At 43.9% G+C, this 13,224-nt stretch overlaps 2 protein-coding genes and 1 pseudogene across 44 annotated transcripts in view, besides 3 other annotated features; 2 read left to right on the plus strand and 1 right to left on the minus strand.

Moving 5' to 3' along the window:
• RMDN1 (regulator of microtubule dynamics 1) overlaps positions 1 to 11,450 on the minus strand; it is a 46,092-nt gene extending 34,642 nt beyond the window's left edge. For 20 of the 37 annotated variants that reach the window (XM_047421832.1, XM_047421839.1, XM_047421830.1 and 17 more), the window contains exons 1-2: positions 5,585 to 5,779; positions 4,088 to 4,205 (exon numbers count right to left, since the gene is read on the minus strand). In XM_047421832.1, coding sequence (XP_047277788.1) covers positions 4,088 to 4,205; positions 5,585 to 5,713 — 247 coding nt within the window. In that variant the 5' untranslated portion in view covers positions 5,714 to 5,779. Of the gene's footprint in view, positions 1 to 4,087; positions 4,206 to 5,542; positions 5,780 to 11,334 lie in introns of those variants that run through there. The other 17 variants (XR_007060734.1, XM_047421828.1, XM_011517095.3 and 14 more) reach the window with 2 other exon arrangements.
• On the plus strand, positions 509 to 4,040 carry SLC2A3P4 (solute carrier family 2 member 3 pseudogene 4; annotated as a pseudogene).
• Positions 5,524 to 5,693: an enhancer, noted in NCBI's record as "active region_27596". NCBI's record gives its function as "activates an Ori minimal core promoter by ATAC-STARR-seq in GM12878 lymphoblastoid cells {active_cell/tissue: GM12878}" and the evidence as "EXISTENCE:reporter gene assay evidence [ECO:0000049][PMID:35858748]".
• Positions 11,497 to 11,576: a silencer, noted in NCBI's record as "silent region_19342". NCBI's record gives its function as "represses an Ori minimal core promoter by ATAC-STARR-seq in GM12878 lymphoblastoid cells {active_cell/tissue: GM12878}" and the evidence as "EXISTENCE:reporter gene assay evidence [ECO:0000049][PMID:35858748]".
• CPNE3 (copine 3) overlaps positions 11,528 to 13,224 on the plus strand; it is a 47,064-nt gene continuing 45,367 nt past the window's right edge. For 2 of the 7 annotated variants that reach the window (XM_047422394.1, XM_024447322.2), the window contains exons 1-2: positions 11,528 to 11,634; positions 12,235 to 12,592. The gene's annotated coding sequence lies outside the window, so the exon portion shown is untranslated. Of the gene's footprint in view, positions 11,755 to 12,234; positions 12,593 to 13,224 lie in introns of all 7 variants that reach the window. The other 5 variants (XM_017013945.3, NM_003909.5, XM_047422393.1 and 2 more) reach the window with 4 other exon arrangements.
• Positions 11,697 to 12,036: a silencer, noted in NCBI's record as "silent region_19343". NCBI's record gives its function as "represses an Ori minimal core promoter by ATAC-STARR-seq in GM12878 lymphoblastoid cells {active_cell/tissue: GM12878}" and the evidence as "EXISTENCE:reporter gene assay evidence [ECO:0000049][PMID:35858748]".

Consider the following 13,224-nt stretch of genomic DNA (forward strand, 5'->3'; position numbering starts at 1 on the left):
GCTCTACAAAAATATAAACCGTTAATAAAGCATCACTGAGGCAGCTCTAATTTCTAGGAAAAAATATATATACATGATATTAGACAGACACATAGAGAAAGGCAGAAAATAATCTAGACCACAGCAATGTTAGCTCCATTACCTATATAAAAATAACTAAGTTAGGCCAGGTGCGGTGGCTCACGCCTGTAATCCCAGCACTTTGGGAGGCCGAGGCGGCCAGATCATGAGGTCAGGAGTTTGAGACCAGCCTGACCAACATGGTGAAACCCCGTCTCTACTAAAAATACAAAAATTAGCTAGGTATGGTGATACGTGCCTATAATCCCAGCTACTCAGGAGGCTGAGGCAGGAGAATGGCTAGAACCTGGAAGGCAGAGGTTGCAGGGAGCCGAGATCGCACCACTGCACTCCAGCCTGAGCAATAGAGCAAGACTCCGTCTCAAAACAAAACAAAACAAAACAAAAAAAAAAAAAAAAAACAAAAAAAAATAACAAAAATAACTTGAGAGATGCTGTAATGGTGAGAGTTTAGAGCATTCCTGAGGACCTGGAGAAAACTCGTTTCTGAGAAGGACATTTTGAAGGTTTTGTTGCCTGAAAAAGTTATCTCTGGAATCACACTCCTAGATCTTTATTGAAGACTTGAAAAGAATTAGATTAGGACCATGCGGACACAGAAGGTCACCCCAGCTCTGATCGTTGCCATTACAGTTGCTACAATTGGCTCTTTCCAAGTTGGCTACAACACGGGAGTCATCAGTGCTCCTGAGATGATCATAAAGGAATTTATCAATAACACTTTGAGTGACCAGGCAAATATCCCTCCCTCTGAGATGTTGCTCACGTCCCTCTGGTCCTTGTCTGTGGCCATATTCTCCATTGTTGGTATGACTGGCTCCTTTTCCGTTAGACTCTTTATCAACCACTTTTTGACAGGTGCAATTCAATGCTTATCGTCAACCTGTTGGCTGTCTCTGGTGGCTGCCTTATGGGATTGTGTAAAGCAGCTGAGTTGGTTGAAATGCTGACCCTGGGCTGCTTGGTTATTGGCCTCTTCTGTGGACTGTGCACAGGTTTTATGCCCATGTACATTGGAGAGATCTCAGCTACTGCCCTGCAGGGTACCTTTGGCACTCTCAACCAGCTGGGCATCATTGTCAGAATTCTGGTGGCCCAGATCTTTGGTCTGGAATTCAAATTCATCCTTGGGTCTGAAGAGCTATGGCCGGTATTATTGGGCTTTACCATCCTTCCTGCTATCCTACAAAGTGCAGCCCTTCCATTTTGCCCTGAAAGTCCCAGGTTTTTGCTCATTAACAGAAAAGAAGAGGAGAATGCTAAGTAGATCCTCCAGCAGTTGTGGGGCACCCAGGATGTATCCCAAGACAACCAGGAGATGCAAGATGAGAGTGCAAGGATGTCACAAGAAAAGCAAGTCACCGTGCTGGAGTTCTTTAGAGTATCCAGCTACCAACAGCCAATCATCATTTCCATTGTGCTCCAGCTCTCTCGACAGCTCTCTGGAATCAATGTTGTGTTCTATTACTCAACAGGAATCTTCAAGGATGCAGGTGTTCAAGAGCCCATCTATGCCACCATTGGTGCACGTGTGTTTAATACTATCTTCACTGTAGTTTCCCTATTTCTGCTGCAAAGGGCAGGAAGGCGGACCCTGCATATGATAGGCCTTGGAGGGATGGCTTTTTGTTCCATGCTCATGACTGTTTGTTATTAAAGGATGAGTATAATGGGATGAGCTTTGTCTTTATCGGGGCTATCTTGGTCTTTGTGGCCTTTGAAATTGGACCAGGTCCCATTTCCTGGTTTATTGTGGCCGAACTCTTCAGCCAGGGCCCCCGCCCAGCTGCGACTGCAATGGCCGGCTGCTCCAACTATACCTCCAACTTCTTAGTCGGACTGCTCTTCCCCTCTGCTGCTTATTATTTAGGAGCCTGTATTTTTATTATCTTCGCCAGCTTCCTCATCACCTTCTTGACCTTTACCTTCTTCAAAGTCCCTGAGACCCATGGCAGGGCTTTTGAGGATATCACATGGGCCTTTAAAAGGCAGGCACATGGTGCAGATAGATCTGGGAAGGATGGCATCATGGAGATGAACAGCATCCAGGCTGCTAAGGAGACCACCACCAATGTCTAAGTCATGCCTCCTTCCACCTCCCTCCCAGCATGGGAAAGCCACCTCTCCCTGAATGAGAGACCTCATCAGGATGAACCCAGGACTGCTTCTGAATGCTGCTACTTGATTCCTTTCTTATCCCACGCACTCCATGCGCACCTCAAGGCTGGGGTTTGTTGGATTTTCAATGGTTTTTTAAATATTTTATTTCCTGGACATTCTCTTCTGCTTAGGAGAGACCAAGTGAACCTACCTTCATTTCAGGAGGCAATGGCCACTTGGCATATGACAACTTTGCCAGTTTTTCCTTCCTTGGGTTCTAATATTGCCGCACTAGGGGATATAGGAGAGGAAAAGTAAGGCGCAGTTCCCCCAACCTCAGACTTATCAGGAAGAAGATATACATATGAGTGTGGAAGGCAGACGGGGTTTATGTAAGAGCACCTTCCTCACTTCCATATAGCTCTACAAGGCAAATTAACTTGAGTTTTATTTATTTTACCCTCTGGTTTAATTACATAATTTTTTAAGTTCTGGGATACAGGTGCAGAATGCGCAGGTTTGTTACATAGGTATACATGTCCCATGATGGAAATGTTTATTTTTTTAAGTGTAATTTTGCCAAATAATAAAAACAGAAGGAAATTGAGATTGGAGGGAGGTGTTTAAAGAGAGGTTATACAGTAGAAGATTTCATGCTGGGGAGGTTAGCGTGCAATATGAAGAATTTAGGGAGAAATGTAGTTCATTATTGGAGGGTATATTATGTGGTGCCTGAAGTCTGCACATTACCTCTTGACAATTTCTGTCCTTCAGATGGAAACTCTTAATTTCCCATAAAAGTCATATGCCTACATAATAAAGTTATTGATTTCCTTTGGAACTTTTTTCTTTTAATAGTTTACATGTAGTAGTACTTGAAATCTAGGATTATTAACTAATATGGGCATTGTAGTTAATGGTGGTTGATGGGTTCTAATTTTGAATGGAGTCAAGGGAAGGGAAAGTTATTTCTAGAAAGCTTGTTCCCCCTCACTGGACCAAACAACTCCTCCTTGTAGGAGACTCATTACTTTTGAAGTAATCCCACCACCTATCTGGTGGGAGAGCCATCCAAATGAGAAACTTAAAATAATCAGTTCTTGGTAGAGATTCATTATTTCTCCATTTTGTGCTTTAGGAGATTTTAGGTGTTGATTTTGTTTTATTTTAACTCATATCTTTAAAGGAATTCCCCAAAGAATGTTTATAGCTAACTTGGAATTTATAACCTCAGCTCTGGGATTTTTTTCTGAACGATTATTATCTAAAGGTGTGTTGTTGCCTTTAGGGTCATGCCATGCTTGTCTATGTCTGTTACCATGTCACTGTGGTCCTATGCCAAGTGCCCTTAGGGGGTCTCAATCTTTCCAACAGACCATGTTCGAGATAGTATGAGTCAATGTACAGTGTAGCCCACACTTGAGAGGATGAATATGTGTGCACTGTCCCTTTGCTCTGGATGGAAATAGGTTATTGTTGACTTATTTTTTCTGTGTTCCTACAGCCCCTTTTTCATATGTTGCTCAATTTCCCTTCCCCTTCTTGGTGCTTACACATCTCAGACCCTTTAGCCAAACCCTTGCTGATAACGGTATCTTGGTTCTCAGTTCTCACTGTTTCCTCTGGTCACGGAGACTTCAAATAAAAATGCACATAGCTATGGAGTGGGGTTTAGCTGGAAAAGGTGACCTTCTTCCAACTTCACGTCAACTTCTGGCTCCTCAAACAGTAGGTTGGCAGTTAGGCAGGGAAGTTGTTTTCCCATTTCTCACTGAGCAGATTGTGAATATTTCCATATGGATTTTCTATTATTAACATTACCCTGATTCTTTGTTTTAAAATAAAAATTCTGAATGTACGCACACAAAAAAACTCTAAATGTTCCATATATCTAATTTATGCTTACCTTTGGCTGTGGCATGAACCACAGCAGCCTGAGAGATAACCTGGTAAGTTTCAAAACCCAAATACGACAAAGCTGAGAGTAAAAGGCCTCTTTTGAAAGTTCCTGGGTTTCCCATTACCTATGGAAACAATTATGTTAAGAGTTACAAACTTTGAAAATTTGAAGGTACTGCTACCCCAAGCAAAAATTACATGAATTTTCTCCCACCCCCAAAGCAATCGATCATAATACTGGAAGCTTAAAAATTACTTCATCAAAATCTTTAGTAAAACTATCTCAAAGCGTATCTTATTGAGAAAAAGATATCCCCTGGAGTCGCCGCTCATCTAAAAATCACACTCCTGCTGGAAAGGAAGAGCTACAACTTATTTGCTACAACTTATTTGCAAATGCATGGATATTGCAAATTGTATGAAGTAAAATATGAGACACCAACACATAATAAAAATGAATCTTACAGACAAGATTATCATATATAGTAATTACTACATATAAAAATGTACATGGCTAACTTTTAAATTTTTTTGTAGAGACAGGGTCTCACTGTGTTGCCCAGGCTGGTTTCAAACCCCTGGACTCAAGCAATCCTTCCGCCTCGGCTTCCCAAAGTGCTGGGATTACAGGCTGAGCCAAGGGGCCAGGCCTAAAATGGGACTTCAAACTCATCATTGTTCCAATTTGAAAACTTACGGCTAACTAGTTTCATACTTAGAACTCCTCCCATCTCTCTGCCTATATTATCTATAACCTCCCCATTTGGTTATAAACTTCCAAGGAAGGGGAATATGCCAAATTTTAACCACCCCTCCCCACCATCAGTCCCATAATAATTCTGAAAGATTTTAACTGAGCAGTTAAAAATTTGAGTTTAAAATAATGAAACCCCTAGTTCATGTGAAATATATCATATGCATTAATGCCATTCCAATTCCCTGACAAGAATAAACAGAGGCCCACGAGCAGTCTAATAGAAATACCAGAACTGAGACTACAACATGCCGACAACCTTCATTGACGTTATGCAGATACAACGGGCAACTGAGAAATAAACATTTTTAAACAAAAACCTAAACAGTATGAAATCTCTGCTTCTGAGTCGTAGAACTTTTTAAATCACACACCACACTTTTCAAAGTCTGAAAGGGGCAGCCTCAAGCGCTGTTGTATCTGTCATCGCCTACAGGGAGAATAATTTCACAGCGGTCAAGGTTCTTTCCCGTCCTGTTTTACATTTCGCACAAGAAGGGCGGGTAGCAGGCAGCTTCTGGGGCGCGTGGGGGCAAACCCCACTCCTTCTCTGACAGCCCCAGTTAAGGATAGTGGAGGTTTGCAAAATGGAAGGGACCTGTCCGGGCGTTCCAGGCACAGTGGCCCCGAGTTCTTTCCTCGGTTCACCACATTCCTTAGGCAGCGCGGGGCCGCCACCACTTAAGTTAAGGGGGAGCCGGAACCCACTGAGTAGGAAGTGAGGAGCGGGAGCCAGGACCACGGGGGTACCTCGAAGCCGCGGAATCGACAGGGGCCGCAATGCCCGCGGCTGCCCGAAGTCCCCGCAGGGAGACGAGACCCCGGGGCGGCTCCACGTCGGAAAGGCAGAAGGCGCCACAGTCGAGCAGCCAGCGCCATGACCTGCAACTTGCGGGCTGACCCTGCACTACTTCAGGCAGCTACGGAGGCGGGCGGGGCTAAAGGAGATTCAATCCTTCCGGAAAGAACCGCGCCCGCCCGCCTCCTGCACAGCACCTCTTCCGCCTCCTGCCCAGCACCTCTTCCGCCCCCATGGTTTCCGGTGCACGGGCTTAGGGGGTGGGAAATACCCCGATTGGGTGGGACTTAATGGACTTTCCGCGCCTGCGTCCAGGACTGAGGCCGTGAGAGCGCTCTCTTCAGGCGCTCTGACTTGTTTCTGCTCCATCTCTCTAGGGGGTCTTTCATGGTTTGGGCACAAGGATTCGTCGCCAGAATAGAACTGAAAGCTCGGAAATAGACCCGAGAATACAAGTATGCCAGAAAAAAAATTGTCATTTTAATTATCTGCTGCCTTCAAAAGTAGATTGAATCTTGGTACTAGTGGGTCTTTTTTGGAAGTAAATAATTGGAAGAATTATGTTGCCCAACATGAAGAAGGGAAAGTCTCAGTCTCTTCGACTGAGCGACTCAAGGGGGTAGATTCAAGAGAGAGTCCAGAGCAAAGAAACAAAAAATGCAAAGCGTTTTGGGAAGAGGAACTAGCGGGAGGAGGCCTCTGGAAAGGATACTGATGCCCTTGAATGCTAGGGCATGTGTAGTAAAAAACAGAAACAAAAACAAACCCTGGTCTCCCCTAAAATTCTTCAATAAGATGTTTTACTTACTCGAGCAAAGTATTTTATTTTACTCGAGTAAAATAAAATTTCTTGCTCGAGTGGAATTCTTTTGTGGGAAAATGAAGAAATTTTGGATCCTACTTGAGGCCTGATCAGGGTGGGTGGAAACACAGACTGCAAAGGGAGTACCTACTATATGGGTTTAACGAAAAATCTTATGGGTAATAAGGGAGGCGAGTCATGGTTTTAAAAAATTAGGTTGCATTTCTATGGTACTTTTAATACTGTATAGGGAATTAATACATAGTCGTATTGATCTTCCGAACTACCTTGTGAAGTAAGTGGTATCCCAGGTTTACAAATGAAAAAACTGTAACTCAAAGAGATGTATTAACCTAACCAAGGATATGTTAGAAGACAGGAATCCATGTCTTTCTACTCTGAGTCCAGTGCTCCTTCTACTATATGATTGCTACCTCCACTAGTCCCATTAAATCAGCTGTATTTCTTTAGGATTATGTCTTTAAAGTCTATCTTTAAAAATATATAGATCTCCTTCCCAACTTCTGAAACCTAGCTGTTTTTTCCCAAAGACAGAATCACTTTTATTTTATGCATTTCTACTGGCAGCTACCCCCTCAACATTGCTAAATGTTTATGCCACTGGATACCATGATAACAGTGAAATTAAGTTTCTGATATCTCTGCTAGAGTGAATTTGTAATTAAGTTTTTAGCTTTGAAAAAAAAATTAGATCCTAAGAAAAGTTGCAGGAACTCCCATATATTCTTCAGCTAGATTCAGCCATTGTTACCTTTTTCTCACATTTGCTTTATCTTTCTTTACATATCTTACCTATAATACACATATTATATTCCTAGTATTTTCTGTTGTAAGGCCTTTTGAGAGTAGATTACAGATATCATGACTCTTCAGTCTTAGAAACAAGACATTCCCTTACTTAGTCCCAGTTTAATTATCAAATTCAGGAAACTGAAATTGACAGAATACTATTATTTAATATACAAATTTTGTTTAATTCCCAATACTGTCCTTTATACTAATGATTTTTTTTTCTAAATTCAAGATCAAATCTTGATAATGTCTTGCATTTGTTATGTTTCTACTTTCTTTAAATCTTTAAATCGTCAGCCTTGGTCTTTCACGACATTAGTATTTTTTAAATGTATAGTCCCATCGGTTTAAAGCAGGGTTTCTCAGCCTTGGCACAATTGAACTTTTGGGCTGAAGAACTCCTTCAGCCCGTCAGGCCATCAGATGATTGCAGCCTTGGCCAATATCTGACTGCAACATCAAGAGAGATGATGAGCCAGAAGCACCCAGCTAAGCCACTTCTAAATTCCTAAACCACAGAAGCTATGACAGATAATAAATGATTGTTCCTGTTTTAAGCCACTAAATTTGATGTAATCTGTTACACAGCAACTGATAACTAATATAACAGCCAAGTAAAGCATAGAGAGTTGGAGTGTGGAGTTTCAGAGGAAAGGTGTGGAAGTTTGATAACCTTAAGAATATAGGCTGGGCGTAGTGGCTCACACCTGTAATCCCAATATTTTGGGAGGCCAAATCGGGAGAACAGCTTGAGCCCAGGATGTTTGAGACCAGCCTGGGCAACACAGTGAGACTCTGTCTCTACAAAAACATGTTTTTCTTGTTGTTGTTTGTTTTTTGTTTTTGTTTTTGTTTTTTAATTTGCTGCATGTAGTGGTGCATGCTGTAGTCCCAGCTACTCAGGAGGATGAGCTGGGAGGATCATTTGAGCCCAAGTGTCCAAGGTTGCAGGGAGCGGTGATCACACCACTGCACTCCAGTCCAGGCAACAGAGTGAGACACCGTCTTTAAAAAAAAAAGAAAAGAAAATTAAAGAAGTTCGGGCACGGTGGCTCACGCCTGTAATCCCAGCACTTTGGGAGGCCAAAGCGGGCAGATCACGAGGTCAGGAGATCAAGACCATCCTGGCTAACACAGTGAAACCCCGTCTCTACTAAAAATACAAAAAATTAGCCGGGTGTGGTGGCGGGTGCCTGTAGTCCCAGCTACTCAGGAGGCTGAGTCAGGAGAATGGCGTGAACCCAGGAAGTGGAGCTTGCAGTGAGCCGAGATCGCACCACTGCACTCCAGCCTGGTGACAGAGCTAGACTCCGTCTCAAAGAAAAAAAAAAGAGAGAGAAAATATAGATGGAATTCAAAGCTCTGAGACTAAGGCTGGGCGTGGTGCCTCATGCCTGTAATCCCAGCACTTTGAGAGGCCAAGGCCAGTGGATTTCTTGAGCTCAGGAGTTTGACACCAGCCTGGGCAACATGGTGAAACCGCATCTCTACAAAAAGTACAAAAATTAGCCAGACACGGTGGCTCGTGCCTGTAGGTCCCAGCTACTGGCTGAGGTGGGAGGATCGCCTCAGGCTAAAGCCTGAGAGGTTGAAGCTGTGGTGAATCGTATTCGCACCACTGCATCCCAGCCTGGCTGGGTGACAGCAAGAACCTGTCTCTCAAAAAAAAAAAAAGAAAAAGAAAAAAAAAAGCTATAAGACAGGATGAGGTAATTAAAAATGTGACTGAAAGAGTGAAGGTAGAAATATGAGGATCAAAATACATAGGAGAAAGAATATTTTGTGAATATCTTTCATTTTAACATGCATTTAACTCTCCACCAGGTGGTGTTTTATTTCTAGAACCTTGTTAGGCTTGGTATCTAACATGAATTCAACACATGTTAAATTAATGGGTGAATGAATGAGAACAAAAGTAGAATGGGATTTAGACTGTAGTTAAGGAAAATGAATAAATACATTGAATAGCTATGGCACTATGTATTTAGATGATAGATTGCTGTTTGGATACTAAAAGTACAAAACCATCCCCTTGCCTCTACTCTTTCCCTATTTTAGTGTAAAGAAAAGTTTTGAAGGTTAGGTATGGATACTATATATTCTGGAAAATTTGAAACTTGCAATCCAATTAGTGGTGCCTAAGAACCTTCATTTACATGTGAAAGTAGAATCAAAAATAGAGCCAGAAACCTTTAGTAAAAACTAAAACACTTGTAGTACCTCCCCAGTACACTTCAGCAACAAAGGCCTTGTTTCTGCACTGGCAGTTTGTTCTTATCTTTGCCCCTGCTACCATTCCTGTGCCCCAGATATTTGCATAACTGGCTGCTGCTTATTTTTCAAATCTCAGATCAAATACCATCTTAGAGAGCTCTTTTCAGATCCCCAGTCTAAATAAGCTCACACTATCCTCAAGTCCCTCTATCACATCACCCTGCCTTAACTTTTCTCATGGCACTTCTGGCTGGCTGAAATCTCATTTGTCTTTAACAACTAACTTAAGATTCAACCGTCCTCTAGGATAGAAGTTCCTGTCTGTCTTGCTCACAAGTCTAGAGCAATGCACATAGTGTTTGTTGAATAAATGAATGAATCCTCACTGGCACTGATACGATTTTAAAAATGTTTAATTTGCAGGCCAGGCACGGTGGCTCACACCTGTAATCCCAGCACTCTGGGAGGCCAAGGCTGGCAGATCACTTGAACCCAGGAGTTCAACACCAGCCTGAGCAACATAGTGAGACCCCATTTCTTAAAAATAAATAAAATAAAAATGTTTAGTTTGCATTTCTTGGATTAAGAGTAAAGTTTTTACTTAAGAATGTCTGTGTTTCTTCATTTGATACCCTTTCCATTTCTTCTGTAATTAAAAAAAACCTTCACCCATTTTTCTATTGGGTGTTTTTTTTTTTCTTATCAATTTAAATGAACTTAAGAGGCCAGGCACGGTGGCTCACACCTGTAATCTCAGCACTTTGGGAAGCCAAGGTGGGTGGATCATCTGAGGTCGGGAGTTCAAGACTAGCCTGACCAACATGGAGAAGCCCTGGCTCTACTAAAAATACAAAATTAGCTGGGCATGGTGGCACATGCCTGTAATCCCAAGCTACTCAGGAGGCTGAGGCAGGAGAATCGCTTGAACCCGGGAGGCGGAGGTTGTGGTGAGCTGAGATCGCGCCATTGCACTCCAGCTTGGGCAACAAGAGCGAAACTGCGTCTCAAAAAAATAAAAATAAAAAATAAATGAACTTAAGATACTAACTCTGTCAGGTTTGGGACCAATATTTTTCCCAATGTGTTTTATTGATTTTGTCCCTGTTTCCTTGGGAAGAAGTTCTAAATTATCGAGCAGTCATGTATCAATATTTTCCATAGTGTTTTGTTTAGCTGCAGGCAGCATGGAGTAGCAAGCAGTCCAGCCTGCACTTTGAGGTTAGTTTACTTACAATTTGTGTGACTTCAGAAAAGTAGGCCAATTATTTAGCTTCCAAATCTCATGTTACTCAATTGCAGTTTTCATTTGTAAAATGGGTATACTGGCACCAAATACATCACAGAATCATGAGGATTAAAGGTAATGAAGGATATAAAATGTCCTTGGTAGTGTGCACATTAAGAATGCCCTAAATAAGCATATAAGCATGGTTAACAGCTAAGATGTATTTCGCTATTTTCATGTTGATAATTTGTCTTGGTAACTTTTTTTTTTTTTTTTAAGACAGGGTCTGTTTGTCACCCAGGCTGGAGTGCAGAGGCACGAACATGGCGCACTGCAGCCTGAGCCCGTGATCCTTCTGCCTCAGCCTCCTGTGTAGCTAGGACCACAGTCGCGTGCCACCACGCCCAGCTATTTTTTTTTTTACTTTTTGTAGCGGTGGAGGGGGTCTCATTTTTTTGCCCCAGGCTGGGGCTGGTCTCCAACTCCTGGGCACAAGCCATCCTCCCACCTCTGCCTCCCAAAATGTTTGGATTACAGGTGTGAGCCACTGCGCCCAGTCTTCTCAGTTCAGATATGGCATAAATTTTCTCAAATATTTAAATTATTTAATCCTTAAGGAATTTATTTTGGTGCACCAAACCACTTACCTTAAAGTCAGTTTTGCCTTTTCAGTAAGCGACTGGCCTCCAGAATGGCCTCGAAGCGCCAGCCTACTGGCAAGGAGCTGACATGCAGCCCGGAGTCAGCTCCCTGCGGATGGGCTGATCCTCGCGCAGGCTGTGCGGGGCGGGCGCGCACTGGACCCGCCCCATCCCCGCCCCCTCCCCGCCCCCTTGCTCTGCCAGTCCAGCCCTAGGTTCTCCTGAATCCCTGCGGTCCCAGCGTCGCTCCGGACGCTGCCAACCTGTTCTCCACCGTCGCTCGACTTCCACCTCTAAGACTCCCACGTGAGTGCGGGCGTCTCCCAGTTCCTGGGCCGGTGAGGCAGCAGCCCAGCAACCGTACCGCCCGGGGGAAAAGGAAAGTCCTGGCCTGGAGGATCCGAGCCCGCAGGCTCCGTGCGGCAGGTCCCGCCGGGCCCTGCTGCTGGAAGTGCTCCGTGGGCTTCGCGCAGCTGGGGATCGGCAGGTCGCGGGGAGGCTCCCGAGCTAGGTCGCGGCCTGGCTGGACCCAGGCACCGCCGACGCCTCCTGGAGGAGCCCGGGCTCGGGGCTCAGCTCCGGGCCGCAAGGCCCCGCCTGGGCCTGGCGCTCGCGCACCTGGGGCTGGGGATAGGCTGGGATCCGCCCTCCTTCCCTGGGCGGAGAGGGTCGGGCTTGTGGCCCAGAGAAGGGTGACAGGTCCCGAAATCGCTGCAGCACCACGCGGGGAGAGGGATAGGGTACCCACACCACGTCCGTGGTGAAGCCAATGCCCAGTTGAGCGGGGGGCGCGCGCTTCAGAGCACCCGAGAAGCTGGCAGATGGAGTGGGAAGAGGTGACTCTTGATTTCAGGGTAAACAAGGAGATTGTGAGAAGTAGTCTAGCAGCTCCCGTTTCTCCTCCAGCTTCAAGATTCTTCTGTCTAGTGTTTTGGGTTCCCTACACCAGGATTGTGGAGGAAGCGCACGGCCAGAACCCGTTGGGACCGAGCAGATCAACCATTTATGTTGCACTTAATGATCATCTGCACTTTTTGCATATCCTTAGTGTTGTCTTTGTGAGGCCACCTCTATAATGGATAATCAAATAGAGGGAAGGGCGGGATTGAATATTGTGACTTGATTTCAATGTCCCACAACAACTGTGCTAGACAGTTTTTATATGTTAGGTTATTTAACGCTCCCAAGCACTTATTAAAGTGATGTTACTCTGTTTCATTCTCCAGGAAACTCAGGTTGAATAATTCATCAAATTACACAACTGGTAAGTGGTGGCATTAGGGTTTGGAATTCAAGTCCGTATGGTTTTAGGGCACAGGCTTTATTGCTTAATGTAAAAGAACATTATTCTTTGGGATAAGCCAGATACCTAGGTTTCAAATCTATGCTATGAGGGCTGTTAGCTGTATGACCTTGGGCAGGATACTTCACCTTTTAGGGCCTGTTTCTGCATTTGTGAAATAGAGATAAAATGTCACAAGGTTGCTATGAGAATTAAATTAGATCCTACTTGTAAAACATTTAGCAAAGTGCTTGACACGTAGTTAGTGGTAAGCTATATATAGCCACATATATCCTGATGTCATTAATAAGGGTCAGCAAACTAGCTCTCTGTGTGTGCTGCCAGCCAGAGCCAAACAGAACTTGTGCAAGCCTAGAACATAGGTAGAGGGAAACAGCAAAGGATGGGAAACGAAAAGGGAACTGAAAACAGATGACATATATAATGGCAATTATAGTGACAACAATAGATGTCTCAGTCATTGATCTGTGGTACCCAGGGCCACTTTTTGCCTTTGCGAGAATTATTAATAGGTCAGTTCCTTTTGGCTGATGAATTGGAAAAATACATCCCACTCTGGGCTGAAAAATTTCAAACTCTGGGACTGGATCATT

The sequence above is a fragment of the Homo sapiens genome, chromosome 8 (genome assembly GCF_000001405.40).
Source record: "Homo sapiens chromosome 8, GRCh38.p14 Primary Assembly".
Lineage (NCBI taxonomy): Eukaryota > Metazoa > Chordata > Mammalia > Primates > Hominidae > Homo > Homo sapiens.